At 51.2% G+C, this 21,055-nt stretch overlaps 1 protein-coding gene across 1 annotated transcript in view, besides 1 other annotated feature; it reads right to left on the bottom strand.

Annotated features, from left to right (window-relative positions):
- Positions 5,984–21,055, bottom strand: part of HTRA1 (HtrA serine peptidase 1) — a 53,355-nt gene continuing 38,283 nt past the window's right edge. Inside the window, exons 4-9 of the mRNA NM_002775.5 lie at positions 14,006–14,200; positions 13,489–13,521; positions 12,121–12,235; positions 10,738–10,795; positions 8,826–8,921; positions 5,984–6,700 (exon numbers count right to left, since the gene is read on the bottom strand). Of these exons, the coding sequence (NP_002766.1) occupies positions 6,532–6,700; positions 8,826–8,921; positions 10,738–10,795; positions 12,121–12,235; positions 13,489–13,521; positions 14,006–14,200 (666 nt within the window). The 3' untranslated portion in view covers positions 5,984–6,531. The remainder of the gene's footprint in view (positions 6,701–8,825; positions 8,922–10,737; positions 10,796–12,120; positions 12,236–13,488; positions 13,522–14,005; positions 14,201–21,055) is intronic.
- Positions 15,709–16,208: an enhancer, noted in NCBI's record as "H3K4me1 hESC enhancer chr10:124264199-124264698 (GRCh37/hg19 assembly coordinates)". NCBI's record gives its function as "activates a minimal SCP1, AML or CMV promoter by ChIP-STARR-seq in naive H9 embryonic stem cells {active_cell/tissue: H9 hESC(naive)}" and the evidence as "EXISTENCE:reporter gene assay evidence [ECO:0000049][PMID:30033119]".

Below are 21,055 nucleotides of genomic sequence, written 5' to 3'. Positions count from 1 at the left end.
GAAGGAAGCTCATCCAATCAGATCAGATAATGACTGAGGAGGTGAGAGGAAGAGAGAGGCAGGCAACATAGTGTCAGAACCTTGAAGAGTCTTTGGGACATTGGCAAATCAGCAGTTTTTAAACTCAAATGACCATAACTTTTATTGCCTTGTGAAGTATGGGAGCTAGATAATAATTATAGGGACAGTAAAATAGACAGAGGTGAGTGTGGGATGGAACCTGGCATGTCATCCTACTAGCTCCAGGCACTTCTGTTTCCCCATGTGCTAAAATGAATCCTTGATCTAACAGCACAGACAGCCCCCAACTTACAACGGTTGTGGTGTGGGAGCAATGCGCATTCAGCAGAAGTCCCAACACAACCATTCCATTTTACATGTTCAGAATAGTACTCAATAATTGATGACATGAGCTATTCCACGATTTATTATAAACAGGCTTTGTGTGAGGTGATTTTGCCCAATGGAAGGCTAACGTCAGTGTCCTGAGCATGTTTAAGGTGGGCTATGCTGAGCAATGATATTCGGTAGGTGAGGTGTAGTAAATGCATTTTCACCTTATAATATTTTCCATTTACAATGAATTTACCAGGACAAAACCCCATCTTGAGTCAAAGAGCATCTGATCTGCTCACAAGGTGCCTAGAAGGAATGATGTCAGACAGCCGTGGTGGTGCCACTTATGACCTAGCATGAGCACATGGCAGGTACCCACACACCATTCCTGGCGCCTCAGACATGAGGAGAGGCTGACACCAGTTATGACCAATCGTGAGCACGTGGCTGGCACCCACACACCATTGCCCGGCGCCTCAGACACGAGGAGTGGCTGACACCACTTATGACCAAGCATGAGCACATGGCCGGCGCCCACACACAATTCCCCAGCGCCTCAGACACGAGGAGGGGCTGACACCGGCCACTGGACACTTTTTACGGATGAGGACAAGGAATCTCAGCGAAATTAAGGGACTTGCCCCAAGTGTCATGGTCAGTAAAGCCCAGAGCCGGGACTGAACCCACGATCAGGAGCATTCCCGCCACTGGGCCTTGCCCGCAGTGGTTTTGAGAGCAGCTGTTGAAAGAGGGGATCAATGGTAGACTCAGAGATCCCTTCTTGCCTCCACCTGAGGTCCCCCTCCCTTCCGAGGTCAACATGTGAGGCTCTCACAGGTCCTGTTGTGTATTCCTCACAAACCACCCACTTGCACTACTCTGAGAGTGAGGCCCCTTTGCTTTAGCCCCTGGGCACCCCACTGGCCTCCTTCTGTTCTGGGCCCCACTCTGTCCCTCCCCAGCCTCACCCCCTCCTCACACCCCCACTCCCAATATGCCCAGCACAGTCCTGGGTGCACTGTGGTTATGCAAAAAGATGGATTCCATGAAAGAATGCGTGCTAAGAGGATTCTTTCCTCCAGTGGCAGATGTGACTGTCCAGGGAGGTGTGGGCCCACCTCAGTTGTCAGCTAATCCGTATTGATTGACACCTGCTTTGCAGGCTGGGCTCAGCCCTATGGCCTCAATGATGGACTTGGCCCTGTGGAGCTGCAGCCCCAGAGTGAGTCCCGACAAGGGAACAGGCAGTTAGGACAGCACATGGCCAGCGTGCGAGCTCCTGGCAGGGGAGTCCGGTGGGGCAGATGGTGAAGAGATGGGGAGGAGCTTCCATGCACGGGGCAGGGAGGGTACTAGGATTTAGGTGTGGAGACAGGAGAAAGAACAGCCTGTTCAAGGAATGGAAGTGAATTCCACATGACAGAACATTGAGAGCAGGAGAGGAATGGAGAGGTGAGAGTGGAAGGAAAGTGGGGACCAAGTCAGGAAGGGGCTCAGATGTCCCAGAAAGGTGTTTAGTCTTGTTCCAGGGAGGCTGGGGATGAGGCAAGCCGGAGTTGTGTGCTCCTGACCTGTCCCAGACATGGGAGCACTTGTCTCCTCTGGTCAGATACACCAGGCCAGGGACTTGGGGCCCCCACTCTCCCCACTCTCCTCCCTACTTCCCCACAAAGACATGTCCTACCCCCGCCAGAGACAAGCTGAGTGGCCTTGGGCAAGTTACTTAATCTCTCTGAGCCTTCATTCCTTCGTCTATAAAATGGTATAATAATAGTTTCTATTCCTTGGTGTTACTGAGGGGACTAAGTGAGATAGATATGTGTGTAAAATGCTTGTACTGTGCTTGCCACAGAAAGCCTTAGCGACAGCGCCTGCTGCCACCTTCCACACCCTGCACGCCACATCCACACTCATTCTACGGTAGCATTTACTATGTGACACTGCCATTTCTATTGTTAACATCACTCCTCTCCCCTGGATGACATGACGCCCCCTCTCACCGGTTTCCCTTTACCACGGCAAGGAAGCCTCCAGTGCCCACCTGTTGGGCTCCAGAATGCTAATCAATGCACGCACCTGTCCCAGCTGGTCCAGGGCAGCAGTGAGCAGGGCTCCAAGGCTAGAACGCTCACAAAGGTCACCAAAAACACGTGTCTCTAAATGGGAATGGCTCTCCAAGAGAGATCTGATTGTCCTCTTGCCTCAAGGATAGAAAAGAGTCCCATCTCCTGAGGAAGTTACCCTGGAGGTGGGCGCAGTGCAGCAAAAAGCAGCCCCCAGGGCAGCCCGCCTATTCCCACGAGCCTGCTCCAGACTCCTCAGCCTCGGCTACTCCCCGGACTCAACCAGGGAGCTGACGCCGGACACACACCCAGAGCAGGGACCTCATCAGAAGGTCAGGGAACTGAGAGGGAGACCCAGACAGCAGGTCTCCATTTTTTTTTTTTTTTTGACAGGGTCTTTCTCTGTCACCCAGGCTAGAGTGCAATGGTGAGATCGCAGCTCATAGCAGCCTTGACTTCCCAGGCTCAAGTGATCCTCCCACCTAAGCCTCCCAAGTAGCTGGGACCACAGGCACACACCACCACACCTGGCTAATTTTTGTATTTTTTGTAGAGGCAGGGTTTCACCATGATGCCCAGGCTGGTCTTGAACTCCTTGATCCACCTGCCTCAGCCTCTCAAAGTGCTGGGATTACAGGCATGAGCCACCACGCCCGGCCACAGGTCTCTTTTAAGCTCCTTCACACTGAGCCTCACAATCTGCCTCAGCCCAGTGCTCTAGATGGTTCCCACCAATGGATCAGCGTTGGCAGGATGGATGGCAGAAACCTACCTGCCCTCCCGGCACTGAGCCACTCTGACTCTGTCATACCTCTGACCTTACCTATAACCACCTTCAGGGGTGCAAACTTGAACTGGACTGGCCCATTCACCCAGATATATGTCCACACAACCTCAGCGAGGCCTGGCGCTGACTTCAGTGGTATTTGCTGAAATGGGCCAAGCATCCTTGCCAGCCCATGGAAATGCTATCATCCAAGGTTCAGACCTGTCTAAAATATTAACCAGGTGGAGACAATCACTGTGCAGGTTCTGATAACAACATGTGCTGCTCCTCACCACGCCCACCAGACAGGAGCATTCTTCCAAATTTTCAGATGGAGAAATGGAGTCAGAAAAGACAAGACCCCCCAGGCATGGTGGCTCCTGCCTTTGGGAGGCCGAGGTGGGCAGATCGCTTGAGCTCTGGAGTTTGAGACCAGCATGGGCAACACGACGAGACCCTACCTCTACCAAAATTACAAAAATCAGCAGGGCATGACAGTGCATGCTGTAGTCCTAGCTACCCTGGAGGCTGAGGTGGGAGGATCACGTGAGTCCGGGAGGTCGTGACTGCAGTGAGCCATGATCAAACCACTGCACTCTAGCCTGAGCAACAGAACGAGACCCTGTCAAAAAAAAAAAAAAAAAAAGACAGAGGACCTCCCTGTAGAGAGCTGCCCATCTCAGATTCACTCAGCCAAGCCTGAAAGACACAGCAAGGAGACCCCTGCACACCAGGGCCTCTCTGCTGGCCAGTGCATCAAGAGAAGCATCTGGCAGGGCGGGATGGGGATAGTCACGTGATGCAGATGTGCTGGGGAAGCCCAGCCATGTGGTTGGCTCACAGTTTTGCAGAAGCTGGAAGCAGAGGACTAGAGCTGAGGGTGCTGGGATTGGAAGAGGCACTGCTGAGCCCACATTTGGTAAGCAGGAAGTTCTCCAGGAGCCAGAACAGGGGGCAGGTGCGGGCCCACCAGCCAGAGGGCTGTTAAAGTGACCTTGGAGGGACCAGAAGTGGCCAAGAAGAATTAGAAACTGAGCTCCATGGAAGCAGAGATGGACCCAACTGAGGGCATTCTACAGATGAAAAACAGACAGAGAGGTTAAGGGACTTGCTCAAGGTCACACAGCCAGTAAGATATATAGACACTGGATTTAAACCCAAATCCATCTATAACTCCAAAAGCCATGCTCTTTCGACTCAGTGCTCTGCCTCCAGGCTTTAAGACTAATTTATGTTGCAAAACCCTGCATCACAGCCTAAAGCAAGCAGAAGAAACAACTATTCTGGAGGTCTTCAAATGTGAGGTGGGGGTTCCAGGACAAGCAGCCCCCATGGGACACAGGGTCTCATGGGTAAGTGCAACCATGTAACCAAACATGTCATATGCAACAATGTGGCAAGCTGCCATTTCTGTCCTGTATGTGACCATATATGCAGGCAAAACTCCAACCCCATCCAGTGTCCTGCAGAGATGTTGCAGAGTGTTTACAGAGGCCTCAGGCTGGTCCATCACCAGGCTAGTTTCTTCCAGAAGAACCATCAGTGATCTCCCGGATGCCTAACAGGCTGAAGACAGACAGGCTCGGGCCGGGGCTGGGTCTGACCTCAATGCCACCCACGGCATCCTCCCCACCTGTGGCAGCACCTCAGCTCCGGGGACCACACAGGAAAGCAGGCCCACATACAAAACATCTGAGAATGAACCCCTGAAGCCACAAGCCATTCTGAGTCATCACCTTTAATGGAGAAGGGAGGGAATGCAAAACACACTCCCACAGCCAAAGGACTCGCTGGTTCCTTCCTGACTCTACTAGGTCATTCAACCAGAGAGCGAAGAGACGTGCCAGTGTTGCAACGGGCCACAAGCTGCTCAGCCGCCGAGCACCAACACTGATGAGGGCTGTGCTCAACTGGACCGCCCCTGCATTTAAGTTGGCCCTTCGGCCTTCCGCAGCCTCCCCAGTTATGAGTTGGACCTTATGCCTCTGTGGATGGAGGAAGGATTCAGCTCTCAATTGGGAGAACAGAACCTCCATCCGGTCCAAGGCCCTCCTTTTAACTGCTGACAGTTGGAAAGCTTTGACCCGCTGCTCTTGGCATAAACAGCATACTCTCTGGTGTGTGCTCCCCACAGGGACATAGGTCTGTGCAAACTTCCAAGCTAAAGCTGTGCAAGTCCTCTTGGGTCAGCTTCCCAAACTTTCGGAAAGCTTTCATGGAGATAAAGGTGCCTACAGCTGCTTCTAGCTGTACCTGTTTGAGGGCACTTCAAGGGGAGTCCTCCTCTAAACTCACCAAGGCTTAAGGCCTAGTTCTTATTTCACAACCCAGGACAAATGAGGTCAGCTGCAGCCGTGTGCATTCTGGGCCCATTCTGGGGTTGCATCCTGGTCTCCTGAGCTGTCTCCCTTTCAGAAAGAGACTTGGCTTCTGAACTGAAGCTCTACAGAGGGAGAGCCTGCGTCTTTCCTGCTCTCACTGACCACGCACTTACAATGCCTGGCACAGAGCAGAGACCCAGAAAATCTTTGTTGACTAATTGCATGCTGTATGAGGTCAACAGACTCTCTTTCATTTGACAAGCTCCGGATGCGAGTGCAACTGTCCTCAAGTCCTGCTTCATAAAGCCAGGGTGTCCAAGCAGAGTTGTTCATAACCCTGGTAAATCCCATGGGATGATTTTGAAATAACTCATAAGACTAAGAGCTCAAACCTGCGTGGACAATGCAGTCTAATGAGGGGCCCACTGACATTAGAATCATTCCAAAAAGACTGCAACAAGCTGCTCTTGGGAAAGGAAAATAAGCACTACAGAAAGCAATGTGTAAGAAGTACTTTAATAGCTCAAACTCAGAGTCATCGTGCTCCCAATTCCAAAGAGATTCCTAAAAGAGGCAACTTCGGCCGTTTGAGAAGCCAGCGCTCACCCACCCGGGGTCTCTGTGCATTGACCTTTGGGTGCTGACTTGGAGAAAAGCACAAACACGACCAGTCCCATCCTGGCTCCCGTGGGGCTTCTTCTATCTACGCATTGTATCGACTGCATTAGTTGGACTAAGATGATGACTCAGTTAAAGGAGGAGACAAATGCTGACTGTCTAAGCAAGAATGGCCCAAGCTGGCAAGAAAAAGCACACTGCATACATAGGATACAGAAGGGCAGAGCTTCTGCCTGCGGATCTGCAACATTACATTTGTTTTGCCTGCAAACTATCAAGAAGGATTCTGTTGGCCAGGGAGTCTCCACTGAACAAACAAAATGGCAGTCAAAAGTCTTGAGTGTCCTATTCCAGCAGCCCAGAGTCCTCATCCGTCATCCACGGGAGAGTCTTTGAGGGAAACATGAAGTCCAGCTCATGCCTCTGCCTATGGGTCAATTTCTTCGGGAATCACTGTGATCATGATATCTTCATTACCCCTGCGGACCACCATGTTCAGGGTGCTTTCCCTTTTAATGACGTCGCTGACATCATTGGCGGAGACCACGGACTGTCCATTGATGCTGATTATGACGTCGTTTTCCTTGAGACCACCACTGCAACACAAAGGGAAACACAATGGCAATGTTTCGTGTTTCCATTCCTCCTGGTCTGACTTTACATGGACAGAGGCACAGCTTAGAACCTAAAAGCCCAGAGCAAACAGGATTGGACGGTGGCGAACTTAGAATAATTCAAACCATCAGTGGGTCAGGCACGGTGGCTCATGCCTGTAATCCCAGCACTTTGGGAGGCTGAGGCAGGTGGATCACCTGAGGTCAGGAGTTCAAGACCAGCCTGGCCAACATGGTGAAGCCCCGTCTCTACTAAAATTACAAAAAAAAAAAAAAAAAGAGCCAGGTTTGGTGGTGGGCACCTGTAATCCCAGCTACTCAGAGGCTGAGGCAAGAGATTCACTTGAACCCAGGAGGTGGAGGTTGCAGTGAGCCAAGATTGTGCCACTGCACTCCAGCCTGGGTGACAGAGTGGGATTCCATCTCAAAAAAAATAAAATAAAATAAAAAATAAACCATCGGTAGATTGGATTACTTTTTAAGGTTTTTTTTTTTAATAATGTTCTTTTTTCCCCACTCTTTTTTTTTTTTTTTTTTTTTTTTTGAGATGGGGTCTCAATTGTTGCCCAAGCTAGTCTCGAACTCCTGGGCTCAAGGGATCCTTCTGCTTCAGCCTCCTGAGTAGCTGGGATTACATGCATGTGCCAGGATGCTGGGCTCCTTTTGAGATTTTTAGGCTAAATCATCCATTGTGTCCACTGTAGAAATGCCTACTAACACTTGTGTGGCTTTATGACCCCAAGGAGATCAAAGGTCAAGATTGACCCCAAAGTGGGGAAGGATGTACCAGGTACTATCTGCCACGTAGTTGGCCAGATATCTGCCAGATAGTTGGCCACTATCTGGCCAACTTGCTTATAATGGGTATTGCAACTCAGAATGCAGTTCCTATAGGGGTGGGCGGAATGTTTCTGTTAAGAGGCACTTCCTTTGTGTGGTTGCCACTATAACTGTAGCTCTTATATAGCTCAGCGTCAAAACGCTGTCATGGTCCTTCATGGGCTAGCACAAGGGTCTGCAAACTTTTTCTGTAAAGGGCTCCATAGGAAATATTTTAGGCTTTGCAGTACATATGGTCTCTGTTGAAGCTACTCAACTCTGCTGTTCCAGCACAAAAGCCACCATAGATGTCATAAACCAAATTACAGTGGACACTGAAATTTGAATTTCATACAAATTTAACATGTCACAAAATACTATTCTTATTTCAGGATTTTTTCAACCATTTAAATGTTCTCATAAGTGGGAACTAAGCTACGAGGACACAAAGGCATAAGAATGATACAATGGACTCTGGGGACTCAAGGGGAAAGGCTGGGACAGGGATGAGGGATAAAAGACTACAAATTGGGTTCAGTGTACACTGCTTGGGTGATGGGTGCACCAAAACCTCACAAATCACCACCAAAGAACTTACTCATGTAACCAAATACCACCTGTTCCCCCAAAAACCTATGAAAATAAAAAATAAGTAAAAATAAAAATAAAATGCAAAAACTATTCTTAGCCCACAGCTCCATATAAAAGCAGGCAGTGGGCCAGATCCAGCCCCCAAGGCACATTTGCTGGTCCCTGGTCTCGCACTTTTCTCTGGATATTCCGCCAATACAGGTAACAAACCCTGATGGATGGTTGAGCTACTTCTTGTCATGTTACTTTGATATCACTTGGGTTATTTTTCTGGAGGTGTTGACAGGTATGGGCCTAATTGTCAGAGACATTCTGGAAGACTCCAGGAAGAGAAGGGTCCTGAAGCCTAGAAAAGGACCACCAAGTGAGGGCTTGGGGACACTGTTCCTGAAACCCTCTCTCTGGCCAGCCGGGCCATCTCAGAGACTCATTACGAGTCTGCTATTGCTCTGTCCATCTGGAGGGTCCTCGTGGAGCAAGGACTTTTGAAGACAGAAGGCACCCTCCTATGGATGAGTCCCGAGCCGAGCCAGGTCGGAAGGCCTGGCCAGCAGGAATGACAAGCAACGTCCGACCACGTCTGTCAAGGATCAACATAATCATCTGAGCCAGTAGAAAAGGAACAGCGCTCCCTCTTCCTGCTACCCCCACAGGAACAACAAGAATATTGGGAAAAGAGAAAACGACTCCAACTCACGCTTCTGCTGGGGTATCAGGAATTACTTCAATTATATACGCTCCTGAGATCACGTCTGGGAAGTCCCGGTGCCGGTCCTTCAGCTCTTTGGCTTTGCTGCTCCAGAGAAAAAGCACCCGTGTTAGTGTGAAGAAACACCAGGCCTTCCTCACGCAAAACTCAGCTCTCACCAGTTCCCGTCTTCTCCTTAGGTCTAAGGTAAAATTCCTCCAGGAATTCTGATCCTATTTTAAAATTAAAATTGCCTGTCTACCAGAGTCAAAGATTTACTTGGTAACAGCAAGGAAAGTGCTTTATTATTTATTTATTTTTTTTATTTATTTTTTTTTTTTTGAGACAGAGTCTTGCTCTGTCGCCCAGGCTGGAGTGCAGTGGTACGATCTCAGTTCACTGCAACCTACATATCCCGGGTTCAAGCAATTCTCCTGCCTCAGCCACCCGAGTAGCTGGGATTACAGGTGCCTGCCACCAAGCCCGGCTAATTTTTTATATTTTTAGTAGAAACAGGGTTTCACAAATTGGCCAGGCTGGTCTCGAACTCCTGGCCTCAAGTGATCTGCCCGCCTTGGCCTCCCAAAGTGCTGGGATTACAGATGTGAGCCACCGCACCCAGCCATCATCATTGTTATTATTTCTTAATTAATAGTAGCTATTACTAAGGAGTCAGTAAAGTACAGTGGTTGGCCTGGTTTGCAGCCCTAGCTCGGCCATTTGCTAGCTGTGTGACCTCGGACAGTTGCTTAACTTCTCTGTGCCTTCATTTCCTCACCTGCAAAATGGGGATAATAACAGTACCCTACAACATGAGTTGTGAGGATCAGATGAGATCATCCCAGTAAGGCACCTGGCCCAGTACGTGTGATACATAGTGGCTGGCATCACTGTGGCTGGTGACCCCTGCCACCACTCCCTGATCTGAGCCTGGCCACACATCAGAAGCACCTGCGCTGTCATCCCTATCCTGAAGAGGAGGAAACTGAGGCACTCAGGGGTCATATCGTTCCCAAGGTCACAAGGCAGGACATATCAGAGCAGGGACAGGAACCCAGGAAGCTGGGCACCAAGGGCTTACCATCTTTCCCTACACCTCGTAGTTCCAAAGGCAAACAACTGAGGGGACACTTTAACCTTGACAAATGGCTCCATCTTCTGGAGTGCTAAGAAAGGGACCACCATTCATAACATGTATCAAAATATATTAATACTTTCACAGTGAGTGAATCATTAATTCATCATAGTAATGAACACATTAATCTATCTGTTACTATATTCTAGTCTTTACCTACTTTACCTCTGACAGTTTTAGCCATGCCAGGTGAGTCTACTACCAGGACTCATGAGATTACACCAGAATTTTTCATCCAGTTTAGAACACCAGGATGCCATGAGCCTGCCAACCACAGGCCGCAATTCCACCAGCTCGGGGAAAACAAGCACATCAGTCATTCACTTCCCTGCGCTGGACCTGCCCTGGCATTCCTGGAGCCGCGGCCCACGAGCTGCAGAGCAACGAAAGCAGAGTGCCTAGAGCTGCGGGAGGGGCTTGGGGCCCTCCTGGAATGTGGGTTTCAACAGAATGTGGGGTAAGGAAGACGTGAGCCAGAGTGAATCAACAGCCCCACCACGCACACACTGTTCAGGCCTGCCTTCAAAGAGGAGGGCAGAACCTTCTACACCGGAGGGCCTGCTGCCAGTGAAGAAAACCAGCTCAGAATGCAAAAACACAGGTTAAAACCAAACAAAGGGGCCAAGGCTAATGACCTGTCCTCTTTCCCGATGCTACTTCATTATAAGCAGAAACTGAGACGTCTTAAGGCAGCATAAGGTTTCTCTTTCAGGGGTGCCCGTGAGCACCTTCTGAAGTTCAGGTTTATTAAAATTTAAGACACAGACACGCATCCTGTTTACCCACCTGGACGTGAGTGACATCATTCGGATACCAATATACTTCTTCTTGGTGATGGCTTTTCCTGGTGAGACAACAAAGGGACAGCAGAAGGTCAGCCCAGTTGGTGGGGGTGCTGGGGACACCAGGGGCCGGGGGCCCAATCCCCCAGGTTGCAGGAAGGGCCACAGAAGGGTACACTGAGGTTGCGGCTCAAATCCTGGTCTGGACCCCTCCCCTCTGGGGGACCTTGGGAAAGTCCCATTGTTTCAATTAATGGTCAGGTACCTGGGCATGACCCTTAATTCCTCATGGCCTCATCCTGACAGCTGGCCCTTCCCCAAGCTTGCTCTACCCCCCATATATATCTGGAATGTGACCCCTCTGTCCCACCTCCACTGCCACCACCCTTGTCTGAGACCCCAGCATGTCTCATCCAGATGGCTGGGAGAGCCCCTTAACCGGTCCCCAACTTCCAGCAACCCCTCCAGCAGACTCCCCGCAGCCATCAGAGTGTCCTTTCAGTGACATCAATCAGATCATAAACTTCCCTGTTCTTAAATGTCGTTAGGATGCAACCCAGGTCCCTCACCACGGCCTGCTGTGAGCCTGCTCGCCCGGCCTTGGCCTCTTTCCACCCCGGGGAACTCCATGCTGTCACTGTGCTCCGGCCCTCAGGCCACTTCAGGGGCCTTGTGCTCACTCAACTATGCTGAGTCCTCTGTCTTTCCTTCTGGAGTGTTCCCCCCACATCCCTGCCCGCTGGTTCCTCCTCACTCAGACCTCAGCTTGGAAGGCATTTCCTGGCCACACCATCTCCACCAGCTGCCCCTCCAGTCGCTCCCTTGACGGCCACCCTGATCCGTTTTCTTGGGAGCACTAATAGTATCTTATGTGTTTGATTATTTACTGTCAGCCTTCCCATCCCCCAACAGAACATAAAAGTCACACCGGCAAAGGCCCCTGTTGAGCCCCAGGCCCCAGTTGAGCTGTCCACTGCCAAGCTCCCTGCTTGACTTAGAGCAGATGGGGCAATAAACGTTTGCAGAATGATCTCCCTGAACCGTTTTCTCATCAGCAAAATGGGACTAGTAATTCCTAACTGATAGGGCAAAAGAATTAAGTGACATACATAAAGAAAGTGAAATAATGTACACAAGTCACCTAGGATCATGCCTGGTACATATTAGACTGACTCAAGTGACATTGCCATGATCAGAGGACAAAAATGGTGAAATGTCTGTGACCTTCTGCGAGGGATTTAGTAATGTGCATTCCCGTTCACTTCTGGATCAGAGACGGCTTGGCTAGTCCTAGGGGCTGCCGCTTTTCCCTTCCCCAAGTCCCAAAGGGCAGCTGAGCTTCAGGCCCCATCTCCGGAGTCCCCAGGGCTGTGTGGGCCTTGCCTACCTTTGGCCTGTCGGTCATGGGACTCCGTGAGGAACTTTTTAATCTTATCAGATGGGATTGCAAAGGAGATTCCAGCTGTCACTTTCAAAGTGTTAATTCCAATCACTTCACCGTCCTGAAAAGCAAGAAGGACACGGCTTACTGAATCGTGAAGCTTTACCGGCAGGTACACACCCAGAGAGAATATGCCTGAAAGAAGTCCCTGAGCTATTTCAGAGATCGAAGTGGGGAGATGCAAGGAGGGGATCCCCGTGGCAGCAGGGAGAGAGGCATCAGGACACCCAGGCAGCGCGAGCCACGCGCAGCTGTGGAAGAATCGCACATACTCCAGGTCGGCACTGGGTGCTCACCTCACGGTAAGCACAGATAGTTTCAAAATGCACGATATGATTTGCTCCTGTTTCACAAGGAATACGTTTCCAAAGGCTCAAACTCCTTTAGGTGGCTGCCCACACCTTCCTGCTTCTCCCATGTCTAATGATCTTAAGATGACTCTGCTGACTTCAGGGGGAAACAACCCTAGAGCTTAGGGCTGTCATGCTTCATTACCAGCAAAGCCATCTCCACTCCATCCCCAAGTGCTGCGCGGGGAGGCAGAGGACAGAGCTGGGAGCACAGCTGCCCCTCTGCTGGGAAGAGAAAGCTGCCAAGTGCACACTTCCCAGGAGTGCTGAGATGTCAGTACCTGATGCCAAGGCACCATCTAGGAGGTGCCATCACACTGGGCCTTGCTAAAGACAGCCCCTATAAATGGCCCCAGAGCTGCCCTCTATAAATGGCCCCAGAGCTGCCCTCTATAAATGGCCCCAGAGCTGCCCTCTAGCTCTGCTGGTCTGTGTTCTAAGGCTTCACTTTTTCTGCTCAAGTATTTAAGGGAAGACTTAAGTGATATCTTTGTGGGTGGGTAACTCCTCCTCATTCCAGCCAGGCCTTAAGGGAGGATTCCTGGCCAAGAGAAAATGTGTATGAGCCCAGCCAGCTCCTTCAGCAGCCCAGGAGATTTAATTTGGAGGAGGTGCTTTCGGTGACTGGCCAGCATTTTTAGTGACCTTCACCTTACTCCTGCATTGGCCCTGAATTTCACGGTGTTTACCTGTAACTCTGAGACACAAGTGTGTTCTCTGGCATAACATTTCCAACCCTCACCTCCGGCCTGCCTTACTCTTTCCAGAAAAGATCCGTAGGGTCATTTGCAAGCACGCAGTACATTTACAGAGCCATTTTAAAGGAATTTATAATACACTTTGGCAACCTTATGTTTGAAAAGACCCCCTGCCTCAAAAACAAACAAACAACAAACAAACAAACAAAAAACAGCGTATACATAGATAAAAACAAATGACCTAACATAGGTTTAAAAGACCTTACCAGGTTTACTAACGGGCCTCCCGAGTTTCCATACTGCAATTAAACAGAAATGAAAAGGTTACAAATCGTGTCATAACATGGTTCAATCTATGTCCCTGCCTGGTCGTTTCCTGAGCACGGTGCCTAGAGTGGGGGGCACGATTCTTCTCTGAGATTCATTCCCATTAACCTAATATTTTGCCGGAAAAAAATGACCTTAACAATTTTCAGAAAGTTTTAGAGGTGCCGTAAACAGGGAGATTTTCTCTCTGAAGCCCAGAAGCCAACTGCAATCACCCTAAAGCACCCAATACAACTTCTTCCTCCTGGGAGGAGGCTGGCTGTCCACCTGCTCCGGTGTCACCGTCCCCGCCATGTGACCCCTGCCATGCTGCTGGCACTAGAATCCACATGGCTTGGTCTAGTTCCATCCCTTCACGCAGACTACAACAAAGTCAGGGGCTAAGACCTATGCTGACTCCTCTCCCCCTGGCAAAACTCTGCCCCAATCCCCACCCGCAGAGGGACAGAGGCTCACGTTGATGATGGCGTCGGTCTGGATGTAGTCCATGTCTGAGTTGCGGAGCCCCAGCTCTTTGCCGCCTCGCTGGGTGGTGCTCACGATCCCGGTGGTGACTGTGTTTTGAAGGGAAAACGGGCTTCCGATGGCGACCACGAACTCTCCCGGCCGCAGCTCTGAGGAGCGGCCAAGCAGCAGGACAGGCAGCTTGCCCTGAAACCACAATGGCTGGCGTTGCTGAGTTGGTTTAATTTAACCAAATAGGTAAAGGCACAGATATCATGGAAAACCAAGCAGGGACAGTGACGGGCTATTTGGAAACACCAGGCCCGGTGGGGAACTGAGCTCACAACTAACATCCCTTTGCTGCGGGCAGGACTGGATTTCCCTCCCACCCGTAATCCACACATTGCAAGCCGTGCGGGAGCCAGTGAACACTGAAGCCACACACACACCAAGGAAACCGTGGGGAGGTAACTGGAGGCCAAGTCGGGGTCTCATCACATCTTGAAGCTATCAGCACAGACTCACTCTGAAACCTTGAGGCCAAGAGACAGAGGAAGACAACATGAATTTAGGGTTTGGGGTGAGACTGCTGGGGATGGCCCTAGAGAACCAAGCCCCAGGGAAGGATCCCAAGCTACAGGCAGTGAAACCTGCCCCGACTCATCATGTGCACATCCGTCCTGAGGCCTGGAATATTTGGGGTGCTCTGCGGGCAGGGAACTGTACTGACTCAGGTGCACGCCTATGCTGAGTACAGGGCCACACTGGTCAGGGGCAGGGATGGAGCATGGGGACAGCAAGACCGAATAGGTAGGCTGTCTCTCCTCTCCTGAAACGGCCCTCTGTCAGCCACCTGTGCTTCCTGGTCTGGGCAGGCTAATTGGCCAACTCCAGAAGCCCTGATCTCCAGCGTCCCACAAAGGCCAGGCAAAGCCAGGAGTCTCAAACAACTCTGCACAACAAAATGGAACAGAAGCCAGCTCCAGGGTCACCCAGGCCAAGGAGCTGGGGGGAACCACAGAAGGGCCTCCCTAGCTCTATCAGGGAAGGCATCGGGGCCCTTTCCCTCTCTGCCTTCCTCGGAGCCGAGCAGACCTCCCGAGTTCCTTCAGCCTTTATTCACTTAGAACGAGCAGCTGCCCTGAACAACATGGACCAGGCCCAGAAATCAGACAGCCACCCCAGCCCTCGTGGGAACTGCAACTCCAGAGCCTCACATTCGTCTATCTCAACAAAGAAAGAGCCAGGGGACCAGTGGGGTGGGGCAGGTGGAACCCAGGGGTTACTTGAGTCATCTCCTCCACCAGGGATGGAGCAGACACTAGCTGATGAGGTGGGGTGACCACCATGCCCATTTAACAGATGAGGAAACTGAGGGTCCAAGATTCTGGGTGACTCGAGACAGAGCAGGGTTTGAAACCTGGGACTGGGATCGGAAAAACAGACTCTCTCATCCACTACACAGTGCCACGCCACACCACAAATATCCCCCAACACACACCAAATAAGGAAGGTGCTGGGTGAGAAAGCTCACGAAGGGAGAAAGGGATATGAAGACAGAGTCCAAGACCTAAAACTGACTATACGAGACTGAGGAGGAGGAAGGTCCCTCAGATCACAGATACCAAGAGGACCAGGAGAGCACTGTCCATGGTCAAGAGCACACACCTGGGGCCAGGCTGCGTGATTTAGATGAGGGCCTGAGCTTATGACCACTCAGGTCCTCAGTTTTCTCATCTGGAAAATGGGACTAACGTACAGCTACCTCAATGGTCCACTGTGAGAATGAAGCAACTTAAGATCTGAACAGCTCTTTGAATACCCGCTGGCTCCTGTAAGCACCATCTAGGTGTTGGTTTTGCTGTGAGCATCTGGGCCTGTGCAAATCCAACAGCGGGAACCACCAAACACCTTTCCACAGCCAGCCCGTGTCACCCAGCCATGGTAAAGGTCTGCCCTGACAGTGGGTGACCCTTTCCCTGTGTGGCTGCCTGAGGCTGGAGCATGCAGGGCAGCTGCGGGGAGGTGCAGGCCTGCCGCATCTCTACTCAGCCCCATGCTCACTTCCCACACTCCTCAAGCTCATCAGCATCCAGCAGCACACCAGCGAGCTCAGCGCAGTGTGTTTACTCTGGGCCTGGGCCAGCAGCCCCTGCCAGGCATGACTTCAGCACTCATGGCGTGCAGGCGGGGCAGGAGGCAGGGCTGGGATGTGCACTAGGCCACACCAGGGGAGGTCCACCAGGGACACTGCCATCCCTTCAGGCCCTGGACTGGCTGGAAGACCAGGCCTTTGAGGCCTTCAGGGCTGGGCTTGCGACAGGTAAAGGGATGGGGTGGCACAGGTTAATGGAGCGGGGTGGCCTGGCTGCCCAAGGAGATAGACAGGAGGCAGGAGGTCAAACTCAACTCAGGAAGGGGGCCCAGCAGGCGTCTGCTTCACCACACATTGAAAACCCATCAGAAAGTTACGAGGCAGGGCTTGCTGTGGGGATCCTAATTCACATCTCACTCATCCCCTATTCTTACCACCCCTTGGCGCCTCCTAGAAAGGGAGGCAGGCCCAGGCTCTATGTCTCAGGAGACCTCAGAAGGCAGAGAGACTGAAAGGCAACTCTCCTTCCAGCTCTTCTTTTCCACCGTCTGAGCTCAGGCCTAGAGGATGCGGCAAGGAGACAAACACTTTTGGAGAAGCTGTGAGGCTGGGGCGGGGGAGCCCCCAGGCAGGGATGGAGGCTGCAGGCTGCTTGCCCATAGGCGCTACTCCCCATGCTCCCGGGGAGGGCCAGGCCTCCAGGGGACGCTGCCTGCTGCCGAAAATGGGGCCCAGAGCACCCCGTGGGCAAGCCTGGCTCAGTCACACTTGGGTGACCACATGGGCTTCGACAAGATGGACACCCGTGATGCAAACCCAGGCAGTCTGCCCAGGAACCAGTCCTCACCTGAACACAGACGAGGAAATGTGGCTACGTAAGTAGCCATTTAGGCAAAGGCTGCACCAATGGGCACCACCAGTGATCATCTCGTTTAGGTTTTCATCCACTCAGACATTTCCTAGCTCATGAAGGGCAACCCTAAGACAGAAAAAAGCAAGCAGACACATGCGGCGGAGTGGGGAGGGGTCTCACATTGTAAACCCTGGATTTCTGTGAAAGGAATAAGCTTTTGCCTGGCAGGTGACAAAGTATTCTCATGGCACCATTAGGAGTTGAGCTATATTTTCCCCCCATTTTAAAGATGTGGATACTGAGGCTTACAGATGATGGGCAGCCTGGCTAAACAAGAGAACAAGCTTCCCAGCTGTCAGACCCACACGCCCAGTACATGTTCATCCAGAATTCCAATCACAGGCAGAAATCTTTGCAAGGGAATGATGTCTGGCAGAGATGTTGACCAGGCCAGATTTATGGTGGTCCATGAGGTCAAGCTGCCTTTTGGGGGTCACGGCCCCAGCTCCCCACAGGAGCCACTGGCTGCAGGAGCATCGGGCACCTCAGCTCATTCCAAAGCCAGATGGGGCCTGTTCTCAGCCGTGAGCCTCACCTCGAGTCTGTCTACTCAGCAGCTATACCTCTGCTGGCCAAATTCCTACTCGGTAATTGAGCATTTAATTCCATAGCTGTCTAGACATCAGCTCCATGGGGGAATGTGGAAGAGATGCAGCACAGATATGGCTGGAAGTGCACAGCCACAGGCGCCGTGAAGCCCCGCGGGGCCCACGCACTCTGAGTCCAAGGCCTCTGCACTGCTGTCCCCAGGCTGGTTCCCGCGCCACCCACAGCAAAGCACCTCTGAGTCTCCCTTTAAAGCGGCACCGGCCACAGGCCGTCTTGAAGGTGGCAGCTCCTCTCCTTGGCCACTTCACCATCTCCCTGGAGCCCCACAGTAAGCCTAGAAGTAAACAGGGCAAACATCTGTCCCCCACTGACGGATGAAAAGGCCAGAGGGAAGAGGAGAAGAAAGAGGGCACGCGAGTCCCACTCCTCATGCCAGATCCTCACACTGCTGGGGGGAAAAGAAAATGCAAGTGTGGGCATGACTGCAGTGACGGGGCAAAAACAACCCATGCCTGCTCTCATAGAGCCCAGGCGGAGATCTCAGGTCCCCCTAAAAGATCTTGTAGCTCAAGTTTGGTGCAAAACCTTTGGGGACGACAGTCTTTCTGCAGTGAGCCCAGCACAGGCCAGTTCTCACAATCTCAGGAGCAGGAAGCCTGGGAGGCCAGAAGAAGAGAGGGGGCATCTAGAAGAAAAACGCCCACTGGCCCCCAGCCTGCAGGGACTCACAATGCTAAATAGTGTCCTCTTAACAGAGCCAGAAGTCTCTCAACAGAGGGACTTTAGGAAGACACAAATCCTCTAATGTCCTAGACGGCCATCCAGGTAGATGTAGAAACAGATCCAGTGAGGGTGTCAGAGTCCTGGCCATGGGCTCCAGGTCTCCCCACCATATCTATGTAAATTGCAAAGTCCTAGCCATAGGCAGGATGCTGACCAGGTAGTGGGAGTAATGCTAACACCTTGGAAGAGGCGGCCCACAGCATGATTAAAGATGGCTCTTAGTGTTCATGCATATTACAACCAACAGACAACAACAAGCAGCATCGTTTCACAAAACATTGCCTCCGTGAAAGAGAACTCTCTCAACAACCATTCAGTGAGTGTCTCCTATGAGCTTGGTGCAGGGAACATATGATTAAGAAAATCTGCCCTTGCCCTCTCGGCTTTTGTCTCATGGGCAGAGACACAAACAAGCCACCAGGACACAGAGCAGTAAGAAAACACAAAGTCCACCTCCCTCACCATGGGCAGCTCAGCCCAGAGTCTTCCATAAGGGCCAAACACAGACCAGCACTAAAAATAGTTTGTGTGTATCAATTAGGGTGTTTTCAACTGCAAGTGACAAAAAAAAAAAAAAAAAAAAAAAAAAAAAAAAACTCCAAATGGAGTATGTAGAGTAGATATCTGTCCAAGGGCTGGGTGGTACCAGGCTGATAACTCAAAGGCTCACAGACAGCATCAAGAACAAGGCTCCTTCCTTCCCTCCATCCAATCAACCTCAGCCTGTTCTCACAGCCACAAGACGGCCACCACCATTCCAGACATCACATCAAGACGTGACTGTGTCCATGACCATGCTGTGGAAGCATCTCTCCAGAAAAGCAAAGTCCCAAAAGCGCCCTGGCACCCTCCTCCTCGTAGGTCATCGGCAGTATCCAATCAAGCAGCGACCTCAGCACTCGTTGGAGGAGGGAACGTGGCTCCCCTGACTGCATTGGACCCTGCGAATTTGCCTGAGTCAGGAATGCGGTGGGGTCAGGGTTGGAACTAAAACAAACCCAGGGCTCTGCCAGCAGGGAAGGAAGTTGGAGGGTGGGCAACCATGAGTGTCATCCAAAGCCTGGGGAATATGGTTCATTTTAAGAGAGGATCCCAATACAAGCACCTAACAATGTTTAGAAAAGACTCTACAAGTCCATACTCCCTCATGCACATTTTTGTTTGTTTGTTTGCTTGTTTGTTTGTTTGTTTGGCAGGGTGGAGCAGGAGATGTCTGCTAATCTGCTTAAAAGGAAAGCAATGGTCACAGCAGTTCCATGGTGGTGACAGGCAGGTTCAGGTGATGGGAGCAGAATCTGGGCAAGGCAGGGAAATCACTCCCACGGCGCGTGTCCGGCATCTTCCCAGAGCTTCTCCCGCTCTGCCAGGTATGCAGCCTTCACGACCCACCACCCTGTGGATGGGCAGGATGGCTTCATAGCCGTTCTGCTGATGAGGGGACTGCAGGTCCCACAGCAGGTGGGGGTGGTACCGGGACTGGGACCCTCCCTGACCCCAACCTCCACTCCAGGTGTTCTTCTCACCAGCCTGCTCCCCACCTCCCAGATGCTCAGGGCACACAGAGGTCAGCGGGGAAACAGCTGCCCTTGTGCCCCGGATCACTCCACAGGGACAGGGGACCAGAGAGGGTATAACACAGAGCAGGGCAAAGGGGAAGTTTAGGAAGAACCCAAGCAGGGGCCCACCACGGGAAGGGAGGGGAGGTCTGTGCACGCAGCCTCGGTTTTGGGGGCACTATGTGTGGTGTGAGTTCCATAACTGAACCACAGATGAACCATAACTGCTGGAACTCCCCCAGGGCAGAAAAGTTGGGCCTGTGCTGAATGAGGCCCCCAGGTTGACAGCGCGCCTCAGGCTCATTCTCCAAGATCAACCAAGGTGGGGCAGAAGTGAAAACTTAGGCAAAACACCTATGTGTATATGCATACATGCACACACACGCACACACATTACCCCCTCAGGCTCCACGTATGCTGAGAGAACACTGTCCCAGACAGTAGGACATCTGGGCTGGGTCTTGGTCCTATATGAACTCAGTCTACAACCTTGAACCACTTGATTAGCTTCTCTGGATTGCGGTTTTAGCACCTCTAAAATTAGGGAGTTGAGCCCAGTGATCTCCAATGGTCATCTCAGCTCTGACAATTAGCTATTCTTTACGGAAAACCTGGTTGCTTTCCAAAAAATCCATTAGCAGACAATAGTTAAATGTAAGTAAGATCCAAACAGGCAACAGGGTCCCCAATAAATCCCCTTTTTCATACAACTCCCCAATGGGGTCAGATGATCCCCGCAAACTTATACTGCTGCAAGAGGAGGGGGCGTTCCTAGAATTCTCCAGATGCTGGCTTGGCCAGTAATCTTTCATAGAGGACTGTGAAAAGCAATGACCCATCGGTATTTCAGCTTCCTTCCATTCAGGGTTCTGCCTAGTAGCACTTGAGTGCTCATTCAATCTCATTCCCTGAAGCTTGGAGAAAAGAAAAATAAAAAAAAACCAATAACATCAAAACCAAAGAAAAAGTTGGCAACTCTTTTTCAACCTAATAAGCCAAGTCAATTACTTCTTTCTCTCCTTTGAAAATTACTAAGTGCTCTTGAGTTACAAAAATATTGTTGTTGCTGAATCTGCAGAATCCACTGCATCATTTCTGGAGGCTGGGACTTCTAGGCTGGTCCTGTGTTGGTTCAAGTTTGCTTCAAAGGCTAACATTGCAGCAAC

Source organism: Homo sapiens, chromosome 10, assembly GCF_000001405.40.
Source record: "Homo sapiens chromosome 10, GRCh38.p14 Primary Assembly".
In the NCBI taxonomy this organism is placed as follows: Eukaryota; Metazoa; Chordata; class Mammalia; order Primates; family Hominidae; genus Homo; species Homo sapiens.
The sequence above is the reverse complement of the archived record's forward strand: the minus strand, read 5'-3'. Positions and strand labels throughout refer to the sequence as shown.